The sequence below is a fragment of the Homo sapiens genome, chromosome 5 (assembly GCF_000001405.40).
Source record: "Homo sapiens chromosome 5, GRCh38.p14 Primary Assembly".
NCBI classification, from domain to species: domain Eukaryota; kingdom Metazoa; phylum Chordata; class Mammalia; order Primates; family Hominidae; genus Homo; species Homo sapiens.
In genome coordinates, this window is record NC_000005.10 from 104,727,118 (window position 1) to 104,753,818 (window position 26,701).

Sequence of the window (26,701 nt, forward strand, 5' to 3'; positions counted from 1 at the left end):
ACAGTCTACTCTAGCTGGGAAAGTACTGCAGGGCCGTCATTGTGGTGGATTGTATTTGCTGCTGTGTCAATCATAGGTGGCAGGCACCACCTGGTTCCCTAGTCATCTGACAGAATTAATGAATCCATTCAATTGCTTCACTTACTACCCAGTGGTGTTTTAGACTCCATGGAAAGAATTCAATTGAGTGGTATCCTTCAGAGTTTCGATAACATGTCTTAAAGTCAGGGTTTTCAAAGTGTGATTCATGAGTCACCTGCTTCAGAATAATCAATTGCTTTTTAGAATTTGTTTTAGAAATCACATTCAGAATTTAATTTTATCTTTAAAATAAATCTTTGATATGGAAACTTAGTAATTATGAAAGTGTTAATATTATTTCTAATAAAATATTAGAGGAAAGTTTCTGTGTAATTACTATGCTCCAAGTTTTGTACCAAACCATTTCCACAATTATTTATTCCTCAAAAAGAGAAAAAAACTATAAAGTAGACATATATTCTACCTATTAGATAAAGAAACTTAGACTAGAGAGAAACATGATTTCCTCAAGGTTACACAGAGAATTGATTAACTGAGCTGGACTAGAAAATTTCATTGCTTATAAAGTCACATTTACTGAGCTCCATTTGTGTGCCAAGGCTTGTATTTGGCTCCAGGAAAAGGAAACTAAATAAGATAAAGCCTTCAATCCACAAGGTAGTGTTTCTCCCATCTTCTTTGACAGAACAGGGCAGGGTCAGGCCAAAGGAGCAATGAAACCCAGAACAACATGGATACAGTACAATTTTTGGAAGGTATGTGGGTTGCTCGGACTACATTTGAAGTATTTAGTAATTTGTGCATTAAATATATAATCAGTTTATATTTGTAACAGCAATAACGGTCAGTTGTAACCCCAAACTAGAACTGAATCTAATGATAGATGGTTGATAAAGAGTTGCTGAAGGATAGAATGAATGAATAGTCTGCTCTACATTGAGCCCATGCTGAGATTTCTGAAACCTTACGAGCTAAACTCTTTTAAGTTTTGGCTTAGGTTGCAGAGTAATCTAATGCCATTTCTTCAATGATACAATCACTTTACCAGATCCTTGGCCTCGCCTCCTGCAAGTGTGTCTTCCTGATGACTGATCTAAATGGCCCCCTCTGCAAAGTTGAAGAGTTTTCCCAAAAAGTTTCTTTTTTTTTAGTCTATTTCCTCTGCTTTGCATGAAATATACACTACCATTTCTACAATTATTGAGCCTCTACTTCGTTTAAGGCTCATGGTGGGCTCTGGTAAGCAAAATAGTCATAGACTCAGAACTTGACTGGTCTCATATTCTAATGAGAAAAGTAGGTATGTGTTGGGAAAGGAAATATTCAGGCTTGTCATATGGTAAAATATAATAAACCAAATTAAAATGATCAGAAAATCTAGAAACAAACTGGATTTAAGTAGCAAAGGGGGCAAATGTGAACACCACACTTCTAGAACATCTAAAAACAAAGTGTCCTTTAAGTGATGATAAAACAAATTAGTCCACCCACATTAATCCAATTATATTGTTATTCATTATTCTATCTTTGAGTTGTTTTTTTAAAATACAACAGATTTTACTGTGCCAATAAAAGTTATGTATAGTAAGTTAATCAGGGGAAATGTACACCCCCTTCTGCCTACTTCTGACTATTTCTGCTGCCAAATGCTAAAAGATCCATATTCTTAAAGAAAGTTGAAAAACTCTGGCATTTATCTCTATAAACTTCCATTCATAAATAATTCTAGGGACAAAATGAAACTGAAAAATGATGACAATAGCAATATGCTGGTTATGTGTTAAATATTCACTCAACACGTATTTATGGAAAATGTACCCCGTGCCAGCTATGGAGCTCAAAAGCTGACTTCCTTTTAGTCCTCATAGATTTAACAGTCTACAGAGCACAGAGCTATTGACAAATAATAATTAATCTGGAGATTGAGTGAGGGCTTCTCTGAGGAAGAAGTAGCATTAAACAGAATGCAAGATGAGGAGTCAAGCTAAAAAAATATGTCCTGCAGAGAAAAGAATGTGTGTGAATTGTCTAGCTGGAAGAAAATAGGTGAGGCTGTGCAATAGGAAAAGGGGCTAGGGATAACCCTAAGTCCTAATAGCAGTAATATTGCCACAAATAATTTAGATTAAGCCTTTATTCATTTCTGTTTGGCATGGTAGTATTGATATCCAATTGTCTAAAGACTTTGAAGGCTTCTTTACTTGTTCTGCAAATTTTTCTTAAAGTAATGAAGATTCTTACATGACATTACTGTAACTATTGATGCCTCACAAGATTACACTGAAATTTATTTGTGAAAAGTTTTTTTTAATATCTCAATTTAATGAGTCTGAAAGCTGAGATTCTATACTTATTTCAGTGTTATTACAACTTGAAGAAAGTACTGATACTCTTATAGATATGAACTTTGAACTTCAAAATATATATTATTTAAATGTCTAATAAAAAGACATAATTTCTTACAGTACTCTATATTAAGTAATGCCTATGTTCTCAGAATGCTTTTCTACAAAATCAGTGTTTCTGTAGTTGTACACTCAGATTGTATATGACAACTTTATTAGACCATCAAGCTTTCAACCAGAACAGCATTGAAAAAAATCTGCAAAATGGAGAAAATACAGTTTTTTTGTGACTGCTAAATCATAGAGTTTTCACAGGAACATTTTTGGTATTGATTCTTGAAAGCAAAAATTATTTCCAAAATGAGGAGCTCCTATTGGCTGTAGCTTTTAACATCTTCCTTTTCTTCTCATTGCCAGAGTTTATCAGAATAGTTTAATATGAGAAAAGCTCTCAAAAAAAAGAAAGAAAGCTGAAATTGCTTGATCTAGTTAAACATGATTTTTTTTCTAAATGATGTTCAATATTGCTAGAGGTTTTTTTTTCTTCTCATTTAGTCTCAAATTACTACATAAGAAAGCACTTGACATTTGCACACCAGCCTTCCCTCAAAGAGATATTTTAAGTTCTTAAAGAAAAAGGCAAGTGTATATGAGTATTCTAAGAACAGAGGCCTTTTAAAAAATTACCACCAACACTGTTATAAAACTATAGTACAAAAACATGCAGAGGTAGTTAGGAGTGGGGCTGACTTCAGGGAAAGATCTTTGGCAGACTGGGTGGGAAGATTTGAAGGAGATACTGAACTGGAGGAAAGATGATTCTGGATAGAAAACAAAAGATACGATTAAGGAAGAAAGATGATGACGATACCACAAAACATTCAAGACTTCTTTCTACATCAAAACCAGAGAAAAATTTTGCATGTTACTATTGGATTTTGAAAAGTAACTAAAAGTATTTAAAAGTCAGCAGCAATGTAAGCCTATAGAAGTCTGTGGGGCCAAGAGAGGAACTGAGGGCAACATGAGCATTAATAAGCAGTCTGCCTGGTGAAAAGTGGGCTCTCTATCTCCAGATAACAAAAGCAAAATAGCAACAGTAACGAGTTGGGGACATGATACCATGGTATGAAGGAAAACAGAATTACCCACAGTACTTTCCAATTTCAAAGGTGGTCATAAAACCTCTCAATTTACTCATATCCAATACCAACAAGTTGATGAGGTGAAAAATAGGGAAAAGCTACCATGAATATCACTCATATTAAATGTAAACTATATCTTTCCTTCCTTTTATATTCCACTTCATTACCACTGCCTCATTTAGAATCTCATCTCTTTATCCTTGGACTACATCAAGTTGTAATCTCCAGGCTTCCCGGTTATCTCTGGAAACAATTTTGTAATTATATCCATCATGAGTATATGCAAAATCAATCTCATTTCATTCTTAGTTCATTAAGCTACAATGACTTCCTCAATGAGTTAAGCCACTCTGTTCAGCTTGCAAGGCCTTAAGTGTATTTTGTACATTTTCATCCATTGTTACTTCGCATGAATCTCAGTCAACTCTTTCTCTGTTATCCATATTGTCTTTATCATTTTCTTTTTTATCTCTCCTATAATTTCACACTTTCAAAATTCTTTGAGGCTCAATTTAAGTTCTAGTTCTTTCATGACACCAAATTAAAGTACACTAGGTCCAGGTTTTCTCCAACTTTGATCTCATAATACCAGAACCATACATATTAATTCCCCATTTGAAAAAGATTGGCTTAATTTGTCCCCACAAATAGATGTTAAATTCTCACAAGCAGGGACTTTTTATACTACTTTTGTATCCACTGGGGGGCCCAACAGTGTTCTGAGTGTTTGATCATTAATTCAATAAATACTTAGAGACTGGTTTCAGATAACTTTCTTAATATCAAAATTGGACTGCCCTTGAAAGATTATTCAGCAGAAGATACTGATTAAAACAGTCGTTTACAACAAGAGAAGGTTTCCAGTTCATAGATTTTATTGCCTGTTTTTTAGATAATACAAACACTGTAACAGGAAGCATCTTGTAAACAAAATTTGCCTTGACTGTTGGGCATAGCCAGCTTTAACTGCTACTTTAATCTCCGCTAAAGGCTCAGAGAGGAACTGAAATGTGAAGTGTTTAGCAGGGAGATGGTCCAAAAATCAAGTTAGTGTGGAAAATAACCTGAGTGAAAAATAGAAAAACACAGAAACTATGCCAGCTGTAGGAGTTGAGCCTGCACTGTGTCCCTTCACATTTTCCATTAATTCATAATTCTGGGCCACGCATGTTATATCCTCACTCTTTTCAATACTCACAACTTTAAGTTTAGTTTATCATAATTCCTGTCTTGAAAGAAGTGTTTACATTTTAGTCTTCCATTGACTTCTCTATTCTTAGCTCTTATCATTTGAATAGTCTGAGCTTGTTCAACTGTTTCCTTTGTCCCACCAACAAATTTAACCACAAGTTTTGGGGTTGAGATTAAGAAAAATAAATAGGCATAGATTTATATTAAGTTACTCCAGGTTATAAGAAAAAGCAACAAGAAATGGGCAGGTGCAGCATAGCTAGATGACTTGGAGATGTTGTTTTCTTTCACATCTGTGAAAATAAAGGTATATGAGGAATCTACCTCGTGGAATGTCTTGAATTTTAGAATAATAGAATTTCAGATTTAGAGTGGACTTTAAACATAATCTTGCTGAAACTTTTGACCAATACTGTGTATATTACTGAAATTAAGACTTAGTTTCTACATCTATAAAACATGGGTAACAAAATAAAGTTAAACACAGAATTCCCATATGACCTAGCAATTTCAGTTCTAGGTATGTAGGGCTCAAAATAATTGAAAATAGGTATTCAAATAATTATTTCCCACAAATGTTCATGGCAGCACTATGCACAACAGCCAAAAGCTGGAAGCAATCCAAATGCCCATTAATAGATGAATGGATAAACAAAATGTGGTATATTCACAAAATAGAATATAATTCAGCTATAAAACAAAAATGAGTTACTAATATATATATTACATCGTGGATATGAATGAACCTCCAAAGCATTGTGCTAAGTGAAAAAAGACAGATACAAAACGTTAAATATAGCATAATATTATTTTTATGATACATCCCAAAAAGGTAAATCTATAGGGACAGAAAGTAGATTAGTAGTTGCAAGGCACTGATGAGAGAGAAGTAGGATATTGTGCTTTAAGGTATATGGAGTTTCCTTTGTGGGTGATAAAAATGTTTGGAAGCTAGAAAGAAGTGATGGTTGCACAACATTTTGTATGAATTAAATGCCATTGAATGTATATTTTAAAGGGGTTGGCTGTACATTATGTGAATTTCATCTCAATTAAAAAAAAAGAAGGAGAGAAATGCTAGAGGTTGAAATATTTCTGTCTTTTACAGGTCATGTTGCAACTGACAGCATTATCCAATTTAAACTCTCTAACACCATTTACTCTTTGTGGTCCATATAAATTTGATGAACATAATTGTTAATTCATAGATATCTATCTAACATAAATATCTACTTTTACTTTAAAGTATTGCCATGTTAATTAGTTTAAATAAGAAGTAGTATACATACATTTAGAACAGATTATAACTCTCCTGTCATTTACATTTGGATGCAGTTCATGGTGAATTTGCACATCCTTTGAAGAAAAACCTTCATGCTTTAGTTTGTGTTCAGCTATACAATATCCACTATTTTAAGTTGTTGGCAGGAAATAGCTATTTAGTATTAGTCATCTTGCAGAATTTATAACATAATGATTGTAATCCAACCCCAACAACAGAATACTATATTGCCAAGAATGGAATCGGGCTCACATTTATCTTTAATGGAGAAATATGTTCTATTTTAAAAAGCCAAGAAAAAAATAAACAGTCATGGAGGGTTAAAGTTGGCAGAATCTAGCCTAGGTATTACTTTTCAACTTTTCAAGCAACTAGTGAATCACCTATGACAAGTCTAATTAAAACAATTTCTGCTCCGTAACTGGGATACTAAGCAGATGGTAGAAATAAAGATGTGCTGAACAGGCCATAAATAATTGAGGCAGGAAAAAATACAAAGAGAAGTGCAAGCTAGTCCTTGCAGTTTATGTGAGTATGCATAGTTTTCTCTGATATGTTAGCATATGCTTTTAGCATTGTACCTTTACAAATATACATTGTAAGATATATGACATTATTCTTGGAAGCTGGGCCTTGTAGATGTTATAAATATAATCCACAAAAAGTAGCTAAGGATTATGACATAATAATCTGTTGGGAAATGAAATAAAAGGAAAGGCATATAAACCAAATAGACAATTGGAAGGAGATATAAGAGTTTATAGTCCCAGTGAGCCGTGAACTGATAGTGGTAATTGGATTATATAATTTCTCATCATAAAGCCAATACTCATTGTCACTGTGAAATCTGTTTTGCTTCCTGTGCCGAGCCTTCCAATTGAATGGAATTTCACTGTGAAGGGGATTTAAAATATTAAAGAAACAAATGAGCCTTTAAAATTTTTCTGTCTAAACTGTACAATAGTCAGGAACTCTGCACAACACAAGTACATGATATTGTCTTCACAGAACACACATTCCCAGAGCAAGTTCCTTGGCTTACACTATTACCAGTCACACTCAATCAAGTATAGCCCTTCAAGGATTCCATGGGAAGAAATGTGTGAAACAGATTTTGGATATCCTGTAGGGGGCAGTGGGCAAGTTATCAAGGGACTAGGAAATCAATAAACAATGCAGACAATCTAATTTTCAGCGATGCAGGCATAACATGGAGGTATTGCGAATAACTTGGAGATATTTATTTCAGTGGTTTGGTTAATATTACAGTAAATTGAGTCATACAAAATTTTTCATTTCTCAGTGCATACAAAAGCATGCAGTAGCATTATGTCTAAAATACCAATGTATATACCTTAAGTTAAAGTATTTTATTGCTAAAAAGTACTAACAATCATCAGAACCTTCAATGAGCTGTGATCTTTCTGCTATTTGAGGGTCTTGCCTTGATGTTAATGGCTGCTGACTGAGCAGGAAGGTGGTTGTTGAAGCTTGGGGTGACTGTGGTATTTTTGTAAATGAAAGAACAATGAAGTTTGCTGCATGGATTGGCTCTTTCTTTCACGTGAGATTTCTCTGAAGCATGCAATACTATTTGATAGTATTTTACCCAAGGTAGAACTTCTTTTAAAATTGCAGTATATCGTCTCAAACACTGCCACTTCCTTATCAACTAAGTGTATGTAATATTCTAAATCCTGTGTGATCGTTTCAACATTGTTCATAATGTCTTCACCAAGAGTAGATTTCTTCTCAAGAAACCACCCTCTTTGCTCATCCATAAGACGCAACTCCTCATTTGTTCAAGTTTAGTCCCAAGATTGTAGCAATTGAGTCACAGCTTCAGGCTCCACTTCTAGTATTTTTACTCTTTGTTTTGTTTGTTTGTTTGTTTGTTTGTTTGGAGACAGAGTCTCACTCTGTCTCCCAGGCTGGAGTGAAGTGGCGTGATCTCGGCTTACTGCAACCGCCTCCAGGGTTCAAGAGGTTGTCCTGCCTCAGCCTCTAGAGTAGTTGGGACTACAGGCAAGTTCCACCATGCCCAGCTGATTTTTGTATTTTTAGTAGAGACAGGGTTTCACCATATTGGCCAGGATGGTCTCGATCTCTTGACCTCATAATCCACCCACCTCAGCCTCCCAAAGTGCTGGATTTACAGGTGTAAGCCACCACACCCAGCTATGCTCTTAGTATTTCTAACACATCACACTTACTTCCTCCACTATAGTCCTACAGCCTTCAAAGTCATCCCTGAGGGTTAGACTCAACATCGTTCAAACTCCTGTTACTGTTGGTATTTTGACCTCCTTTCATGAATCATGAATGTTCTTAATGGCATTTAGAATGGTGAATATTTTCCAGAGGGTTTCAATGTATTTTGCCCAGACCCACCAGAGTAATCCCTATTCACGGCTGCCATAGGCTTACAAAACATACTTCTTCAATAATCCTAGAAAGGCAAAATTGCTCCTCTAACTGTGGGCTGCAGAATGGATGTTAACAGGCATGAAAACAAGATTAATATCTTTGTACATCCCCATCGGAGCAATTGGATGACCAGGTGCATTGTCAATGAGCAGTAATATTTTGAGAAAGGAACTTTTTTTTTTTCTGAGCAGTAGATGTCAACAGTGGGCTTAAAATATTCAGTAAACCATGCTGTAAATGGATGTGCTGTCATCCAGGCTTTCTTATTCTATTTATGAAGCACAGAGAGAATTGATTTAGCATAGTTCTTAAGGGCCCCAAGATTTGTGGAATAGTCAATGAGCTTTGGTTTGAACTTGAAGTCACCAACTGTGTTAGCCCCAACAAGTTCAAGCTGTCCTTTGAAGCTTTGAAGCAAGCCACTGACTTCTCTATAGATATGAAAGTCTGAGATGGCATCTTTTTCCAATACTTCAAATATAAGGCTGTTTCATCTTCATTGAAAACCTGTTTAGTGTGGCCACTTTCATCAATTTCCTTAGTTAGATTTTCTGGATAACTTGCTGAGCTTCTACATCAGCACTTGCTGCTTCACCCTGCAGTTATAAGCTCTGGAGATGGCTTTATTCCCGAAACCTCATGAACCAATCTTTTGTTAGCTTCAAACTTTTCTTCTGTAGCTTTCTCACCAGGCTTTGCTCTGGATTAGGCTATAGCTTAAGGGAATTTTGTGGCTGGTTTGATCTTCTATCCAGACCACTCAAACTTTCCCCATATCAGCAATAAGGCTGTTTATTTTTCTTATCACTTATGTGTTCACTGGAGTAGCATTTTAAATTTTCTTCAAGAACTTTCCCTTTGCATTCACAACTTGGCTAAATGGTGCAAGAGGCCTTGCTTTCGAACTATCTCGGCTTTCAACACATCCTTCTCACTAAGCTTAATCATTACTGGATTTTTATTTAAGATGAGATACATGTGACTCTTTCACTTGAAAACTTAAAGGACATTATAGGTTATTAATTGGGCTAATTTCAATATTGTTGTGTCTCAGGAATTAGGGAGGCCTAAGAAGGGAAAGAGAGATCAGTGAACATCCTGTAGATGGAGCAGTCAGAATATACATAATTATTGACTAAATTTGCTGTCTTGTATGGATGTGGTTTGTGGTGTCCCAAAACAAATACAGTAATAACATCAAAAACCACTGATCGCAAATCACCATAACAAATATAATAATAATACAAAAGTTTGAAATGTTGCAGAAATTAACAAAATGACATACACAGACACATAGTAGGCACATGCTATTGGAAAAATGGCACTGACAGACTTGCTGTTCACAGAGTTGCCACAAAGCTTCAATCTGAAAATAAAACAAAACAAACAAACAAACAAAACACTGTATCTATGAGGTGAACTAAAGCAAAGCACAGTAAAACAAAATATGACTGTGTTCTTCTATTTGTCAACATACATCAGAAATAGCAGTGAAGTTTGAATATCTAGCTGAACAAGAGATTTAATCTGTGCATGGACCTCTCGGCAATGACTGATCTAAAGCTAGTGCTGGCTTGGGTGATATACTGTGAAAACAACAATGAGAATTCATGGAATTACAGATGAATATTATTCAATGATTTCTTTTTCTCTCTCAAAGTGCTTCCAGGATAAAAAGACACACTAGAAAAGGCAGATGTAATTAAAGGTAATGAGAGATCAAACTTTAATTGAACTATAAAAAAACACCACCTCTTCTACTTGATAATTACACTAACACCACCAGGATCAGCTCCACCATTTTTATTTCCCTTGAACCTTTATTATCACATTATTGGCATGTATATCCTACAATTAAAACATCTTGAATTTATAAAAATGTTAGTTATCAAAGAAATTAAAAAGAAATAAGATGCAGTGATGTGCAGTGGCATAACATCAGCCCATGAACTCATTGCCCCAAATGGTAATGCTCTAAAGTAATGTGAGGTTCCTTAATATATGCTAATTAATGAAGGGAATTCAGTTTAAAAAATCATATACATACGCTCTCCACTCTTCTCTACTGTGAAATATTTTTCTGCTCTCTTTAGTGCATTGAAATTGCACTAGTTTCTTTCTACTTAAAGAATATCTGATAGTTTGTATACATATTAATTTGATTACTTGCAGGTTGATTAGTGAGCACTTTTGGGGAAGGCATGTTGATTCCAATTTTGATTAAAAATAAGCAGAGAACATCTGAAGTTTGATTTGGGCAAATGAACCAATGTCTGGTGTAATAAGTGGAAGAATGGCTCTTAGCTAAAGACACTTGAGAGTTATCACAGAAGATTGGGAATAAAAGGTACTTAAAAGTTTGAAGCACTATATAATACTTCATGAAATAATCACTCTTTAGGAAATAAACAATGATGACACAATAACACAATGATTTTGGAATAATTAAAGAAAAATTTCAATTCATTTTAAAATTCTTACTGCAGAAAAACTCTCATTACCTACTCAGAACTTTTTAGAAACTGATTTGTGGCTTTTTTTTTTCTCAATTTTTTGAGTCCTCTTGGGATTTTGATGCTATTTTTGAGGGAAAATGGTCTCAATTTTACTCAGCTGGGCATGTTTCTAACATGTGTTTCACTGATTGTAGAATTATTTATTAGCCTTCTTAAGATAACATAAGTTTAAAAATGCTGTAAGCCTCCATTTTTTTTCCTTTAATGAACTCAGGTCTACGAAAACTGTCTGGTTAGTTTAAGAGAACCTTAAATTTGGTGGAGGGATGAACAGTGGAATGATTGGAAGTAATAAAGAGTTTCTAAAAGTGGAAACAGGAAACAAATCAATGATGAAATATAATTTTGCTTTCATGAAGGCCTAAAGAATAATGGGCTTTATAAGGAATGATAAAATTAAATTTTAGAAGCAAGGAATGCAGAGGTCTATAGAGGAAGACTTATTCTTTCTGTTAAGACTAAAAATGATAGCTCTACTTAAATCTCTTTTGGCACTAGAAAAATCTTGTGAAATTGAGTTTCATATTCCATTGACATGTCAAGGTATCTTATTCACCCGAGAAACAGTTTCACTTAAATATATGACTTGTTCTGCACCATCACAGGACTTAATTTAAGCATAGCACTTCTACTATCGAGGAGGATCATGCTTGTATCAGCTCCATCAGGGTTACAAGGCAAGTGGAGAATTGAGGCCATCAATTTTAAGGCCATAGAGTTGAAAAGTCTAGTCTTTAGTAAGTGACTTAAAACGTCTTGTGTGGGCTGTATTTATTGGTTTGATGCCACAGCATAATGAAATTTATGAAACAATTATTTTATGTCTGAATTCATGACTAAATTGCTAAACTTAACTTGCCATCCATTTACAGAAAGAACTCATATGAGAGTTCAGTTTTAGAAAAGACACAGGTCATTTAAAAATACAACTAAAGGTCACTATTTCTAAGATCTCTTCTATAATAGGGGTGAGGACAGTCCATGTTTAAAGTAGTAACAGTAGTAAACTGAATATATAGATGAACTTTTAAAATACAGAGAAGGAAAAAGGAAGTCTCACGGACAATAATGTTTTACTTTCAAAACTAAGCTAGCTTTTTATTAAAATATCATATGAAATTAAAGAAAATTTAAGAACCCCAATCACCAATATTGAACCACAGTTATCCTCAGAAAAGGTAGCACAAATATATTCTCAGAAGACATTTTTATTATAAGTGGATTAACTTACTTGGTTTTGTCTCTATCTCAAATACGTAGGTGAGAAAACACAGGTAATTATACTTTGACAATTACAGTAGCCACAAAAAGTTAGTGTTTTCTTCAATTTATGGTACTGAAGAGTATCTAGAAGGTAATATGGTTAATCAGTAAGATGGAAAAACCATTAATAGACCTTCTGTTGTAAGAAACATTATATGGGGCTAATACCTTTGTAATTAAAATGTGAAGCAATCCATTTTCATGTCAGTTACCCTTGATTGCCAGGTTGGCCTATAAATCTATATTGCTTGGAGTGCTGTCTTTTCATTACTTAATAGTTTGCATTCAGTGGAGGAGGATATCCACCCTGAAAAAGAAGTAATATTCTTTCTTCAAGGACATTAATTTTCTTTATTCAAAAACTATTAGTCAGCTATTTATTTTGTCAACAAATATTCTAGGCTTTTGCAGTAAGCACGGTTTCACAAATGCCTTTCCCTATGGTAAAATGTTATTTATACAGCTTACTTTCCATTCGATATATGGGTATTTTTATTTTTCTTCTAGAGCTTTTGTAGTGAGGAACATTGGAACTTTACCCTAGCTAATTTGCACTCTTGATCATGACTATTAAGTTAGTGGTTGTGAACTTACTTGTTTTCACTCCAGGATATCTTTTAACGACCAACTAACAATGTTGACACAGAAAAAGCAATGAGCAAATAGGCACTATTTTTTCCCTTAAATCTGGCTAAAGTTTAAACCAGCATTTTTTGAGACACTGAGCTATGTATTAGTCAGCATATTCCACTCATGCTTTTCAACGTAGGATAACAGGTTCAACAAAAAGAAATCTGAAAATCCTGTCAGTAGTCTTCTCTAACCATCACGGTAGGGCATCTTTCATAGTCAATACCATTGCCTCAGACTAGCCACTTGCTTGAGGGTGATAAGGTATAACTGTGATAGTTCTGATAAGGTTTGTGCACTCAAATATTTTAAACACTACTAGAGTAAATGTAGACTCTTTGTCCAAACCATTAATTGCTAGCTAGCCATGTGTTGCAGATAACTGCAACACAGCTGTTAAGAGTTGAAGTGTGAGCTAGAGTTAGACACATTTTCTACTACTTTGAGGCAAAATCTATTATAATCAATATATACTTTCTCTGGGTTGGTGCAACTCTATCAAGATGGAATCCTGACCAATACTTTTTGGTCAATTTTCATTACAAATTAGGATATTTTGTTTGGTGATTTTGCCCATGTTGAAAATAGATATTTTTAAGTATTTAAATTTGAGTATAAGCTAAATTCTTTTTATTTTTTCATCACGTTATATACCAACTGAGACCCTATTTCACAGGTACTTACTCTGGGATCCATTTTAATAAAGCAGTTTCCATTTGGAGTATTGTCAATCACTATATCACAGGACAGGGATATTTTAAACCAAGATTTGGCATTTAAAAATAATATTCTACTTGGCACTGACATACACCAAACTAAGTCTCATGGCCGTGATACATTACAGCAGAGTGGGAATATGTGATCTTTTCACAGGCAGGAGTACCACAAAAAAGACACCAAAATAATATGATGCATAATATTTGTATCTACTTTGGTAGTAACATTTTAGGAAATAAATATTATGATGTCATATAATACATTATAGCCAATCTTTTATCTGCTAGTCTTGAGACATCAGTGGTGATAAAGAGTAGTTTATATTTATTTTAAAATGGTAATACAGCTATAGAATTTTTAAAAAGCTTGATTATTTATCCATCATCTTGGAAAATACATTAAATACAGTTAACTATATCATAGAATATTATAGTGATGATTATCTTTATAAAGGTGGAAAAAGTACTCTGTATAAATGTAGTAGCAACAGAAAGGTCTGAAAATCTTGTGTTGTCATTGAAATGACTAAATTATAGACCATGTACCTTATCTTCAGTGAGTTAAATTCCAGAAGCATTGATGTGATGGCTCAACTTGTGACACAAGATAATACATTTTCACATTTTTAAATTCAGAAACTCATACATCCTATGTAGATCTGTCTGAAGTCATTCTGATGGTCACTCATCTGTATATTACGTGATCCTGACTCTCTGGAATTTGTACTATACTTTAAAGCCCTAGTATTGAGGAGCAGGAGAAGGAGGAGGAGGAGGAGGAAGAAGAACAGAAGGAGGAAGAGGAGGAGAAGGAGGAGGAGGCGGAGGAGGAGGAGACATATATCAAAGAATTCCAAACTCAAGTATATTCTATGGAAAGAACTTTAATAAGTGATGGTAATAATTCATTACTAGCCTAATGCTGTGTTTCCAGTGACAAAAAGAAAAATGACACTCTCTGAGCAAGCATAGGGCTTTCTTAAGTGGATGGCATCTTTGTGCATCCTTCCTTCCAGGTAGGTGTAGCCTTGCACCATGTCATACGGCTTGAACCAATCTCAGTTTCCTTTACCTCCTCAGCTAGACAACCTCAAACAATGCAAAAACTATTCAAGCAAATGTGAGAGCCCTAGTTATTGAGTATTTATGGTAGCTTAATTAAAGATATGTCTTTATACACTTAGCAAAACCAAGTTTCACAAAGATTTTGCTCCAGAAATAAGTAATTGCTCAAGTGTTCATTTCACATTGTATTTCCACTCTCCATGATTATCTTGCCTCTAGCTGAGCCTCTGACTTAATCTCCTTCACTTCTAATCCCACTCAAAAGTTACACATCACTAATACTGGCTCTACTTATACTTCCTAATCATAACTCTGCTTCACATGTCCATGCATTTGCACTTTGACAGCTTCCCATTTCACATTCCACCTGCTATAGCTTCTGAAAACCCAGCACAAACGTTTATGTTTTCTATGGAAGTCATGAAAATACAACATAGAGACTTTCTGCTGCAGAAAAAATAGTTGATTCATAGCCCTGTTTCTGTTCTCTGAATCTACCAGTGTTTATGCCAAGATCATGCTTCTCTTGAGATGATCCAAGCATTGATACAACGGCAGATCTATTCCTGCAAAATATGTCTTCTCTGACCACTGACTTTGGTTCAAGGACATTCTATTGATGTGAGCAAGTCTTTCTTAGAGATGTGCTACAGTCTGAGACTGTTCCTAATCTTACCTCTTTGCTACTGTTTTTCCAGAAGTCAGACCTGTCTTATTCCTTCTCTGGCTCTGCAATCCCCATTTTATTTTACATGTGTTTCCTCAATAAATCTCTTGCATAGATAAACTCTTATGAGCATCTTTTGTTAGAGGATCTGAACTAAGACAATTGATACTGAAAGAGGTCCAAAAATAGGTGGCAAGATGGGAATTGGAGACAGGATCAATCACCTGCCCACAGGTAAAATGGATGTCATCCTAAGTGGTAGGTGAGGCATAGACAGTCTCTGGCACAAGATGGTACCCTAATTGCTATTGATTTCACCACTTGAGACATGAAAATATGTTCCAATGGAATAAAATACCCTTTCAAATGCAATAATTCAGGCATTTGAAAGATAAGAGTTTACGAGGCAGCATCAAAAAGACAAGGACTTCTATATTATGTTGGTGCCTTGCAGAGAAATAATGAGAAACTGATGGATGTAAACAAGCATTTAACAGCAAAATGTGAGCACCAGAGGGTCTTTTTGCTGGCTTAAATAGATATCCAGATCTCCTGGAGAAGAACAGATACAGCAGCAAATTGAAAATTTGATAATTATATTTGCATAACTTCAGAGACATCTGAAAGTCCTTCAAGACAGGTGTTTTTGTGCTAAAATCAAGGCCCTGGTTAAGACAATCTGGGACTCTGAAGCTTGGGATGGGAATATCTAGACAAGTGTCCATGTAGATGATGACTTATAGACACCCTTGAACTGGCAGAGCTTGGAGAAATAGTTCACTTTTGTGCAGTAAACTAGTTCTTTCACTCCTTTATTAGACTATAAGACCCAGCCTGGGTAGAGTGACTTGCACCTGTAATCCCAGCATTTGGGGAGGCCTATGTGGGTGAATCACTTAAGCCCAGGAGTTGGAGACTAACCTGGGCAACATGATGAAACCCTATCACTACTAAAAACTACAAAACTTTGCTGGGCGTGGTGATGTATGCTGTAGTACCAGCTACTCAGGAGACTGAGGTGAAAGGATCACTTGAACCTGGGAGGCAGAGGTTGCAGTAATCTGTGATTGCACCACTGACCACTGCACTCCATCCTGGATTACATAGCAAGACTCTGTCTAAAAAAAAAAAAAAAGAAAGAAAAAGACTATAAAACTTTAAAATACTACACAGTCCCATTTCTCCTTCCTACTAGGTTGAAAACTAGAGTTGAAAGTTACCATGATCTACGTTAAGTGTGTTCTGGGCCTGATAAGAAAAGAAAGAAACAACACACTTAAGGAACTGCAGTACTAAGGTAGCGTTTATTGACAGGAGAAGACATGTACAACTGTGATTGCATTTTGAGAGTACTGGATCAAAGTGATGGAATGTAAGATCAGAAAAACAAGAATTCATTGACATGGGGTTCACTCTCCGACTTTGGTCTTAACATCTTGGCAAAGAACCTAAAAAATGAGGAAAACTCTCTGTAAGTGTTATTCTTAGAAACCTGGAGAAAGTGATGGCTAATACTAAGCAAAATGGAAATTCTTGAGTCGCTCTGGAAGAAAACAGTGAAAGGAATAAAGAGGCTGAAGCACTTGGGAACGTGGAATGGATTTATTATGTGAGGCCTGAAGACCTACCATATGGTTATGCTCCACAGGAAGAACTAGAGATCAAGGCCATCAGGATGTGCCAATAAGACGGAGACAGGATCACTAATAAGCTTGGGGGTGCCTCTCCTCTGTAGGTCAGGGTTGATGGTAGACAAGGTTTTCTCAGATTTGAGCTTTGTAATACCTATGAGATAATGACGCCCCAAAATATTAGAGGCCAGGTATAAAAGTTGAGCACCAGAAAGCAGGGAAGGCAATTACTCTGATGTCCAGCAAGGTCACATAGGCAGCCAAGGGAGCTTGACTTACAGGGAGCTGGGATGATTAAAAGAGCAGGAAGCCTCTAAAGGCAAAATAGATGGGCAGACCACAAGGAGGCTGCTTGACATCTACAACTCCCCTTCCAAAAACAAAGCAAAACAAAACAAAACAAAAATAAAAAACAAAACAAAACAAAACAAAAAAACAGAAGAAAACAAAAATCAAGACACAGAGGTTTGGCACACTCACCCTCAATAAAAAGCCATTACTCAACTTAAGCGTCCAGTGATTGATGACTGGGAAAAGAATGTGGTATATATACACCATGGAATATTATGCAGCTATAAAAAAGAATGAAATCATGTCTTTTCAGTAATATACATAGAGCTGGATGCCATTATCCTAAGTGAAATAACTTAAAAACAGAAAATCAAATATCATATGTTCTCACTTACAAGTGGGAGCTAAACAATGGGTATACATAGACACAAATATGGAAATAATAGACACTGGGAACTCCAAAAGTGGGGAGGGTAGGAAAGAGATGAGAGTTGAAAAATTATTTATTTGGTACAATGGTCACTATTTGGGTGACATGAGAAGCCCAAACCTCCCATTATGCAATGTATCCATGAAATAGATATGAACATACACATTCTGAATCTGTAATTTTTCAAAAGAAGTCGTGATTACTTGCTGAGTTCTCAGACCTGTGCTAAGTTTTAGATTTGGAAGCCAATGACTGAAGAGGTGGTCAGGTTCATAGGAAGAAGCACCATGCAACACTACAGAACATCAGAAGTTGTGATGATTTCCCTATTCATAACACTGTACACTAAAGAATGGGAAATACTCATATATTTGAAGACAGTTGGACAGAGCCTGAGTGTAACTTGACATTGACAACTAAAGTCTTAATGTGTCATCATTGACCCTATGTAAGATTGGAGGCTTAAGTATAATAGGAAATAAATGGAGCACTGACTAAAATCTAACCCACAATGGCCCACTGTGTCCATGGATCCACCCAGTAGTTGTTTTCCAGGTACCCAAATACAAATTGGACTTGACTATGCAGTTGGAGTAATACTCACATTGAGTCTTTGGCTTGCAGAATGAGAGATATGACTGTGAAGAAGGACCACTTGCCACCTCTTGAAATGCCATCCTCCCTCCAGCTAAGATTGAGTCAAAACAAATATCACATCCCCAGAAGGATGTTGCAGGTTATTACTACCACTAAAGATCTAAAGGTTATAGGGGAGGTCATTTTTATTATATCTGCATTAATTTACTAGTCTTCCCCTACAAACAACTGTATAGATCTAGAGAATGATTATAGACTACTGTAGACTTAACCATGTGGCTGCTATAGTTGTGGATGCTTTGCTGACAGTCACCATTACTAGAATAATTTAATAAGGTTTCAGGTACATGGCATATACAATGGCATATAGTTATTGACATGGAGAATGGATTATTTTACCTTCTGATAATAAGACAGGATTTTTATAAGTTCATGTTCATATGAGAAAGTAAAGAATGTTTATTTGAAGTTTGGTTTCAGAGGTACATTAATTCTTTTTACCCTCTTTTATAACTTCTGTTATAGTCTAAACTGAATAGCCTGGGGATTCCATCAAATATCCAATGAATTCCTCACATCAATGACATTAAGGTGATCAGACAGCATAAGCAAAAGGAAGTTAGTTCACTGGCAGCCTTAGTAAGATATAAGTGTTACATATTATAGGACATAAACCATCAAAGATTCAGGAACATGCTACTTTAGTGATGTTTTCAGAGTCCAGTGTTCAGGATGTGTCAAAAAAACCCCACAAGAGAAAAGGAAAATTGACTCATCTTTCATCCTTTATTACGAAGAGGGAAGCACCTTACATGGTAACCCTCTTAGGGGTTTGAAGGCAACATATTCTGCACCTCAGAATGCTATCTCGCCCATATAACAGATGGCACTGATTGCGGCCAGCTTTGGGTGAGGCCCAGAGGAGGAAAGTGTTCCTGTTACTGAAGCTGATCAGGCTATGATGCTTACCATCAGCTATCACATAGTAGAGGGCTGTAGCTTACTCCACTTACCATCTGTATTTTCCCCTCAGCAAGTGAGGCCTGAAAGAACCAAGGAGGATGTGCTCCCCAAAGCTAAATTCGGAAGTGATTTTATGGTACGTATTAGCTCATTTTCATAATGCTATGAAGAAATACACAAGACTGAGTAATTTATAAAGAAAAAGAGGTTTAATGGACTCACAGTTCCACATGGCTGGGGAGGCCTCACAGTCATGGCAGAAAGCAAAAGAGGAGCGAAGGCACGTCTCACGTGGTGGCAGGAAAGCAAGCATTTGCAGGGGATCTGTCCTTTATAAAACCATCAGATCTCATGAGACTTATTCATTGTCATGAGAACAGCATGGGAAAACCCGCCCCCAAGATTCAATTACCTCCCACCTGGTTCCTCCCACAAAATAAGGGATTTATGGGAATTATAATTTAAGATGAGATTTGGGTGGGGACACAGCCAAACCATATGATGGCACAAGGGGTGGACTGTGGCAGACACTTAAGATTCTACTCAGCTCTCCTGCTGTGGGAAATATAAGTGATGGACTTCTGTACTCTTCATTTTTCACCACATTCATGCTGAGACTATGACTTTCACTGGCTGCTCCCAGCCAATGGCTGAGCATAGGGTGATAGTAAGGAAGGCCCATTTCTGCAGAACTCCTCTAACAGGAGTGGCTGCTCAAGGACTCCCATCAACTTTATCAAAACTTTCTTAAAGCTGTGCTACAAACTGAGACTCTTCCTACTACTTCCTACACAGAAGCCAAGAATTGAGGTTTGGGAACCTCCACCTAGATTTCAGAAAATGTGAGGAAATGCCTGGATGCTCAGACAAAAGTTTGCTGCAGGGGCAGGGCCCTCATGGAGAACCTCTGCTCGGGCAATGTGGAAGGGAAATGTAGGGTCGGAGCCCCCATACAGAGTCCCTACTGGGGCACCACCTAGGGGAGGTGTGAGAAGAGGGCCACCACCATCCTTCAGCCCCCAGAATGGTAGATCCATCAACAGCTTGCACAGTGCACCTGGAAAAACCACAGATATTCAATGGCCAGACTCTGAAAGCAGCTGGGAGGAAGGCTGCACCTTGCAAAGCCACAGGGGTGGAGCTGCCTAAGACCATGGGAACTCACCTTTTGCATCAGTGTGACTTGGATGTGAGACCTGGAGTCAAAGGAGATCATTTTGGAGCTTTAAAATTTGCCTGCCCAGCTAGATTTTGGACTTGCATGGGCCCTGTAACCCCTTTGTTACAGTGCACCTGTATTTTGGCCAATTTCTCCCATTTAAAATGGCGTATTTACCCAATATCTGTACCCCCATTGTATCTAGGAAGTAACTAGCTTGCTTTTGATTTTACAGGCTCATAGGTGGAATGGACTTGCCTTTTCTCAGATGAGACTTTGGACTGTGGACTTTTGGTTTAATGCTGAAATGAATTAAGACTTTGGGGGACTGTTGGAAAGGCATGATTGGTTTTGAAATGTAAGGACATGAGATTTGGACGGGCCAGGGGCAGAATGATAACGGTTTGGCTCTGTGTCCCCACCCAAATCTCATTTTGAATTGTAATTCCCACAATCCCCACACGTTGTGGGAGGGACCAGGTGGGAAGTAATTGATTCATGGGGGCAGGTCTTTCTTGTGCTGTTCTCATGATAGTGAATAAGTCTTATGAGATCTGATGGTTTTATAAAGAGGAGTTCCCCTGCACAAGTTCTTTCTCTTTGCCTCCCACCATCCATGTAAGACGTGACTTGCTCCTCCTTGCCTTCTGCCATGATTTTGAGGCCTCCCCAGCCATGTGGAACTGTAAGTCCATTAAACCACTTTTTCTTCCCAGTCTCAGGTATGTCTTTATCAGCAGTGTGAAAACAGACTACTACAACAGACCTCCAATAGTACAGATATAGTCCATTATTCCTGTAAAACCATTTCTGGTTAACTCCATACTGACACACAGCAGAAAACAACTAAAAAATTTACATGCACACACACACACACGTATATGAACACACATATGTATATGTACACATATATGTATATGTGGGTAGTCACTATAGCTATAAACTAACATTGAATAATTTTGAGTTCAAAGTTTTAAGCATTGTCAAGAAAAATTCAGGTGAACATCCAAACTGTCTTAAATGTTTATTCCCTAAAATTTTCTCTAAAATAGCAATTTTTTCTTGTTTAACATTATAGGCCAAGGTGGGCGGATCATGAGGTCAGGAGATCAAGACCATCTTGGCTAACATGGTGAAACCCCGTCTCTACTAAAAATGCAAAAAATTAGCTGGGCACGGTGGCGGTCACCTGTAGTCCCAGCTACTCGGGAGGCTGAGGCAGGAGAATGGTGTGAACCCGGGAGGCGGAGCTTGCAGTGTGCCTAGATGGCTCCACTGCAGTCCAGCCTGGGCGAAAGAGCGAGACTCAGTCTCAAAAAAAAAAAAAAAAAAAAATTATACAAACTAAGTACAACATTAAAGCATACACAAGAAAGAAATATAAATGGATATACATGTGGACATGCCCATCTTCACAAAAACAACTTTTTGTATATATGGACATATGGACATATGTATAGAAACATATATACACATACATATATATATAGAAATATACATAAATACACACTTATACATATATACAAACTAAGTACAACACTAGAGGCAGATACAAGAAAGAAATATACATGGGTATACATGTGGACATGCCATCTGCACAAAAACAACTTTCTGTAAATACGGACATATGGACATATATATAGAAACATACATATATACACACACATATATAATATATGTGTATATATACATATAAACCAATACATATATGGAAACATACATATATACCCATATATTATATATGTATAAATATATACATACATTATGTATGCATAAATATATACACATATATGTATAAATATATTTACACATATGTATGTATATATGTATGTTTCCACATATATATGTATGTATATATGTATGTTCTTATATATGTCCATATGTCCATCAACAATTTATGTTACTGTCACCAAAGAAATAGATTAAAAGAAAGTGTACCAGAATATACTAACTCTGGACAATGGACAAATATATAGAAACATATATATGAACATATGGAGATATATATAGAAACATATATGTATATTGGACATATGGATATACATATAGAAACATACATATATATTATATGTATGTTTGTGTATATATGTATTTTATATATACACATATAATATATATGTTTATATATGTATTTCCATATGTCCAATATATATGTGTCTATATATATGTCCATTGTCCAGAGTGAATATATTCTGGTACACCCTCTTTTAATCTCTCAATTTCTTTGGTGACAGTAACATAAATTATTGATAGCCAACAGTATAATATATATTTAATTTAATATTTGTTTATGTAAACAACAATATAAGTTTTTTATGTAATAATGTTATAAAATAATAATACAATACCTCTGGGATGGGGATTATAACAGGAAAAGTATTAATAATAATGCTGTTGAATAATACTCTTGACTATACTGTTGAATAATCTATATTATTATATTTTAAATATAATGTATTTATCTTTTATTTTATTTTATTTTTTTAATTGAAAATCTTTTATAAAACATTTCATGAAATGCTAAATCGCTATTTGTTAAAGCATAATAAGTTGTTTCAGAATATTGTAATTTCATGTTTAGTTCACCTTCCCCTCTCCACAAATTATGGATAATTTTAAACATAAGTAAAAGTAGACAGAGTAGTATAATGAGCCCCAAAGTACTTATCACCTGTTTCTTTTTTTAATATATTTTACTGACTTTCTTTTTGTTTAATGAGTTGAATAAAACCTATATTGTTATAGGTTATTCAACATATATTCGATATATAATAATTATATATACTAGATATATTTTAATCATTATTAATAATATTAATAATGGTTAATGTTATTAGTTATTATGAATTATATAATATATAATAATACTGTTGAATATACAGTTGAATGACCTATAATAATATATAATAATATAGGTCACTCAATATATATTCAATATATTATTAATAATAATATAATAACCTGTAATATGTAATTATCGGTTATTCAACTACAGGCAACCACATACCATAAGTCAAAAATATTAAGGGTCACTTCCTATAAATCATACACAATATATAAATGGCCAATTGGTTAGTATTGTATCTGAGAACTAGAAGAAACTTTCAAGGTCATTTAATTCAGCTCCATATTTTCTTCAAAGTAGAGGTGATCTTTTAAAGTATTTCACAAATATGAAGTACTATTGACTCCACAGGCCTGTACTATCACAAGCTGTAATAATATTTATATAAAGATCACATAATTATTTTTTCATAAATTTGAAAGCAGACCCAAAATTGGAAATGCTAAATCAAAACCAAATCAATCAAAACAACAAGAACAAAGCAACATCTCTGATCTGGAACACAGTTAACAAACCACCAAACAAATATTCAAAGTTATTTTCCTAGAAAAAAAAATAAGACATTTAAATTTATTAAACCGACACTTTTTGTGTGCATAATTTAGTGGGTTTTTTTTACAAAAAACATGCAGCATCATACAAAATATTAGCAAAATACTGAAACATATAAATTAAAACAGTTATCTTTTTAATATAAAGATAAAATCAGTACATCTTCAGTATTTGTATATTTATAATATACGTTTTGTTGTTCTTTAGTTTTAAAAATTGACAGATATAGTATCATATTTAGTAGCTTAGGAAATAAAGTTTGTAGTTGTGATTTGTTCATGTTATATATCTCACCCATATTAACCAATAATTTTACCTTATTTAAAATCAAGTTTATGATATATTTTGAAATATTTAAAACCTTTATGATATAAGACAGTGGGATACTAAAGTAACTCAAACTTTTTTCTATTCACCTTTGACAAGAAAATCCAAATTTTAATCTTAGCTCTCTCATAGTGATGTAGGGTTAATCTATTTAACATTTTTGCCCCTCAGTTTCTATATCTTTAGAAAATTGATAATATTAGGAAAGACATTAAAATGTTGTAATAAAGATTCAACAAGTGCATAAAATTGCTAATGAATAATACACTTAAGCTATCTAATATCAGACAAAAAAACTCGGCTCTGGGAATAAGAAATGCCTGGACATGTATCTGGAGGAATCTTTTGCAACAACTTATCCAACATTATTATAATTCATCAGGAACTATGAGTGCCCTTGAATTTTAATTCTTTTCTGTAGCTACTTGGAATCGGGGAGAAAAAAATGAAGCCTCGTGGCTCTACTCAGGAAGTAACAATAAATAATTCAGCTCAGGACAGAGATGTCAGGGCATATTTGGGGTATAAAAATGCAACAGGTAAGAGCTCAATTAGCAAGATTCTAGTGAGAGAGGATTAACAAGTTTTCCATCCGCAGTCATAGATTTGTTCACCTCCATTACCTCCCCCTACCTTACCATCAAAATACAATTAATTTAACATAACTGTTTTCTCAGGTTGGAGTTTGTCCCGTAATTTGCTTTTAGTATGATATATATATTTTTTACAAATACGATTATGGTGAACAATCAGATATACAGTACTGTGTTTCTCAGAATCACAGGGGGTAAAAGGTGGCCTTATAATAATTTCAGTATATATAAACCAGAATGTTAAGCGTTGGTCCAAAATGTGGAAAGAATAAAAAAAGCTGAGGAATGTATTATTTTTCTCATGTTTCAAGGGGCAGAAACTCTAGAATGGAAAGCAATTGAGACAATGCTGGCACAGTCATCTCAGGACTCTGAGTCAATTCTCAGCTATCACAACTCTGGTGTCTCAGGAAAAATTTTGATAGAAATATCTAAACTTACCATGACAGCAACCTTATAGTGCCAGAGAGGAAACCCTGTACTCAAGAGAAGGGTGAGAAAAAGTAGGAAATGTCTGTAAATGGGAAGAACTTGAGTTTTTAAAAAAATTATCTGAATGTTGGAAATAAGCAGAAGAAATTCCTGTGTGTTCTTTCATTGTGGTTCTGAGTTTGAACCTTTCATTTATTTTATATTGACTGGACTATTCCACAACTCTGTAGGAGTGAGTTTAACTTGCAGATTTTTTTCTGGAAAAGATGCAAGTAATTAATTTTGATGGGAAAGATAACCCCAAGGGTAGGACATTAAACAGGTTTGTATCTAACCCAACAATTTTATGCTAGATTGATCATAAATACCCAGTTCCTCAAATATTCTTTGAACTTATGTGTGTGTGTGTGTTTTAAATATATTTTACTGGTTTTCTTTTTGTTTAATGAGTTGAATAAAACCTTAGACACACATTCATTTTATATTTGCATGAGAGTAACAATGTTACTATTTTGAAAATTATACTTTACATCTCTCTTGGCAGAGGATGAAAAATATCTAGCCAGACATATGCTAGAAAACTAAAACTATTTATTATGTGAGTATTCAAGGAGAAGGAGGAAAGAGTTCTTATTTGTTAATCAGCTCTTGTGCTCTTCATTATTGTGAAGAGTCTGGGCCATTGTCAAGTGGGAGGATTGGAAGAAGCAAGAAGAACTAAATTGATGCACATTAAAAAGAGCTGAGCCAGAGAACTGACAGGTGAAATAATGGAGAACCTTATAAGCTGTAGTCCAGTGGGAGGGTCATTATTTCTTTATTGAAATTGTTGAGAAGATTTTGGAGTACTTGTGATACAACAGAAATATAAAGATTGACAGTAATGGCCAAAAGAGACTATTAAAGGATTGTGTTGTACTTAATGAGAATATATTTTTGTGTATTTTTGTGAAGAAACTAACCACATAAAGACGTATGTGGTTTTTCTTTAAATATGTTAAAGCAACTTCTCAAGACAGAATATTTGTGAGCATGTTGTCCAAAGTTTCATTTAAATTTGCCACTAGGGAAATATACTTCTAAAAAAGACATTTCAAAATTTTATATTTAATAGAGAATTTTCTAGGGGAAAAAAGGTACTAGATTAAATTAACATAGTTATAAGAGGGGAAGAATTTGCTAATATTATTAGCATAGTAATTAGACTGGTTAAAGGATCTTGTGACTTTAAATATCTGATTTGAGGATTTGGGGCTGAGAACAAGCACAATAGCTGCCCCTGTTATAATCTAACCTCCCAGAAGTTTCTGTTCATCACTTCTAACAGTCAAGTTGGCTCCAGATTATCTTCCAGAAAATCATTCAAATTATTTTATTCAAAATGATCGATAACATAACATTGGCTTTTCTCAGGGTTAGCAAAATGTATGTTTTATTGTGATAGCTTACTGGACTTTGTATGTGTTAAATGTAGATTAAGTGCTTAATACATTGCCTGACAGTAAACATTTAAAAAACAAAAAAAAAATTAGTTATTTCCTATGAATGAAACAAACATAAGTACTGAGTATGAATTGAATAATAATTATAAA

The 26,701-nt window shown here is 35.0% G+C and overlaps 1 long non-coding RNA gene across 21 annotated transcripts in view; it reads right to left on the reverse strand.

Annotated features, from left to right (window-relative positions):
* The window catches only part of LOC105379109 (uncharacterized), a 144,274-nt gene that overhangs the window by 97,588 nt on the left and 19,985 nt on the right, over window positions 1-26,701 (reverse strand). For 4 of the 21 annotated variants that reach the window (NR_188317.1, NR_188316.1, NR_188314.1 and 1 more), the window contains 2 exons: window positions 12,380-12,518; window positions 12,139-12,295 (listed from right to left, as the gene is read on the reverse strand). The exons of 7 other annotated variants lie outside the window; for them this stretch is intronic. This is a non-coding gene — a long non-coding RNA (uncharacterized LOC105379109). Of the gene's footprint in view, window positions 1-12,138; window positions 12,296-12,379; window positions 12,519-16,574; window positions 16,738-16,917; window positions 17,075-17,400; window positions 17,493-18,245; window positions 18,330-26,701 lie in introns of those variants that run through there. 10 more of the 21 variants (NR_188321.1, NR_188320.1, NR_188319.1 and 7 more) reach the window with 7 other exon arrangements.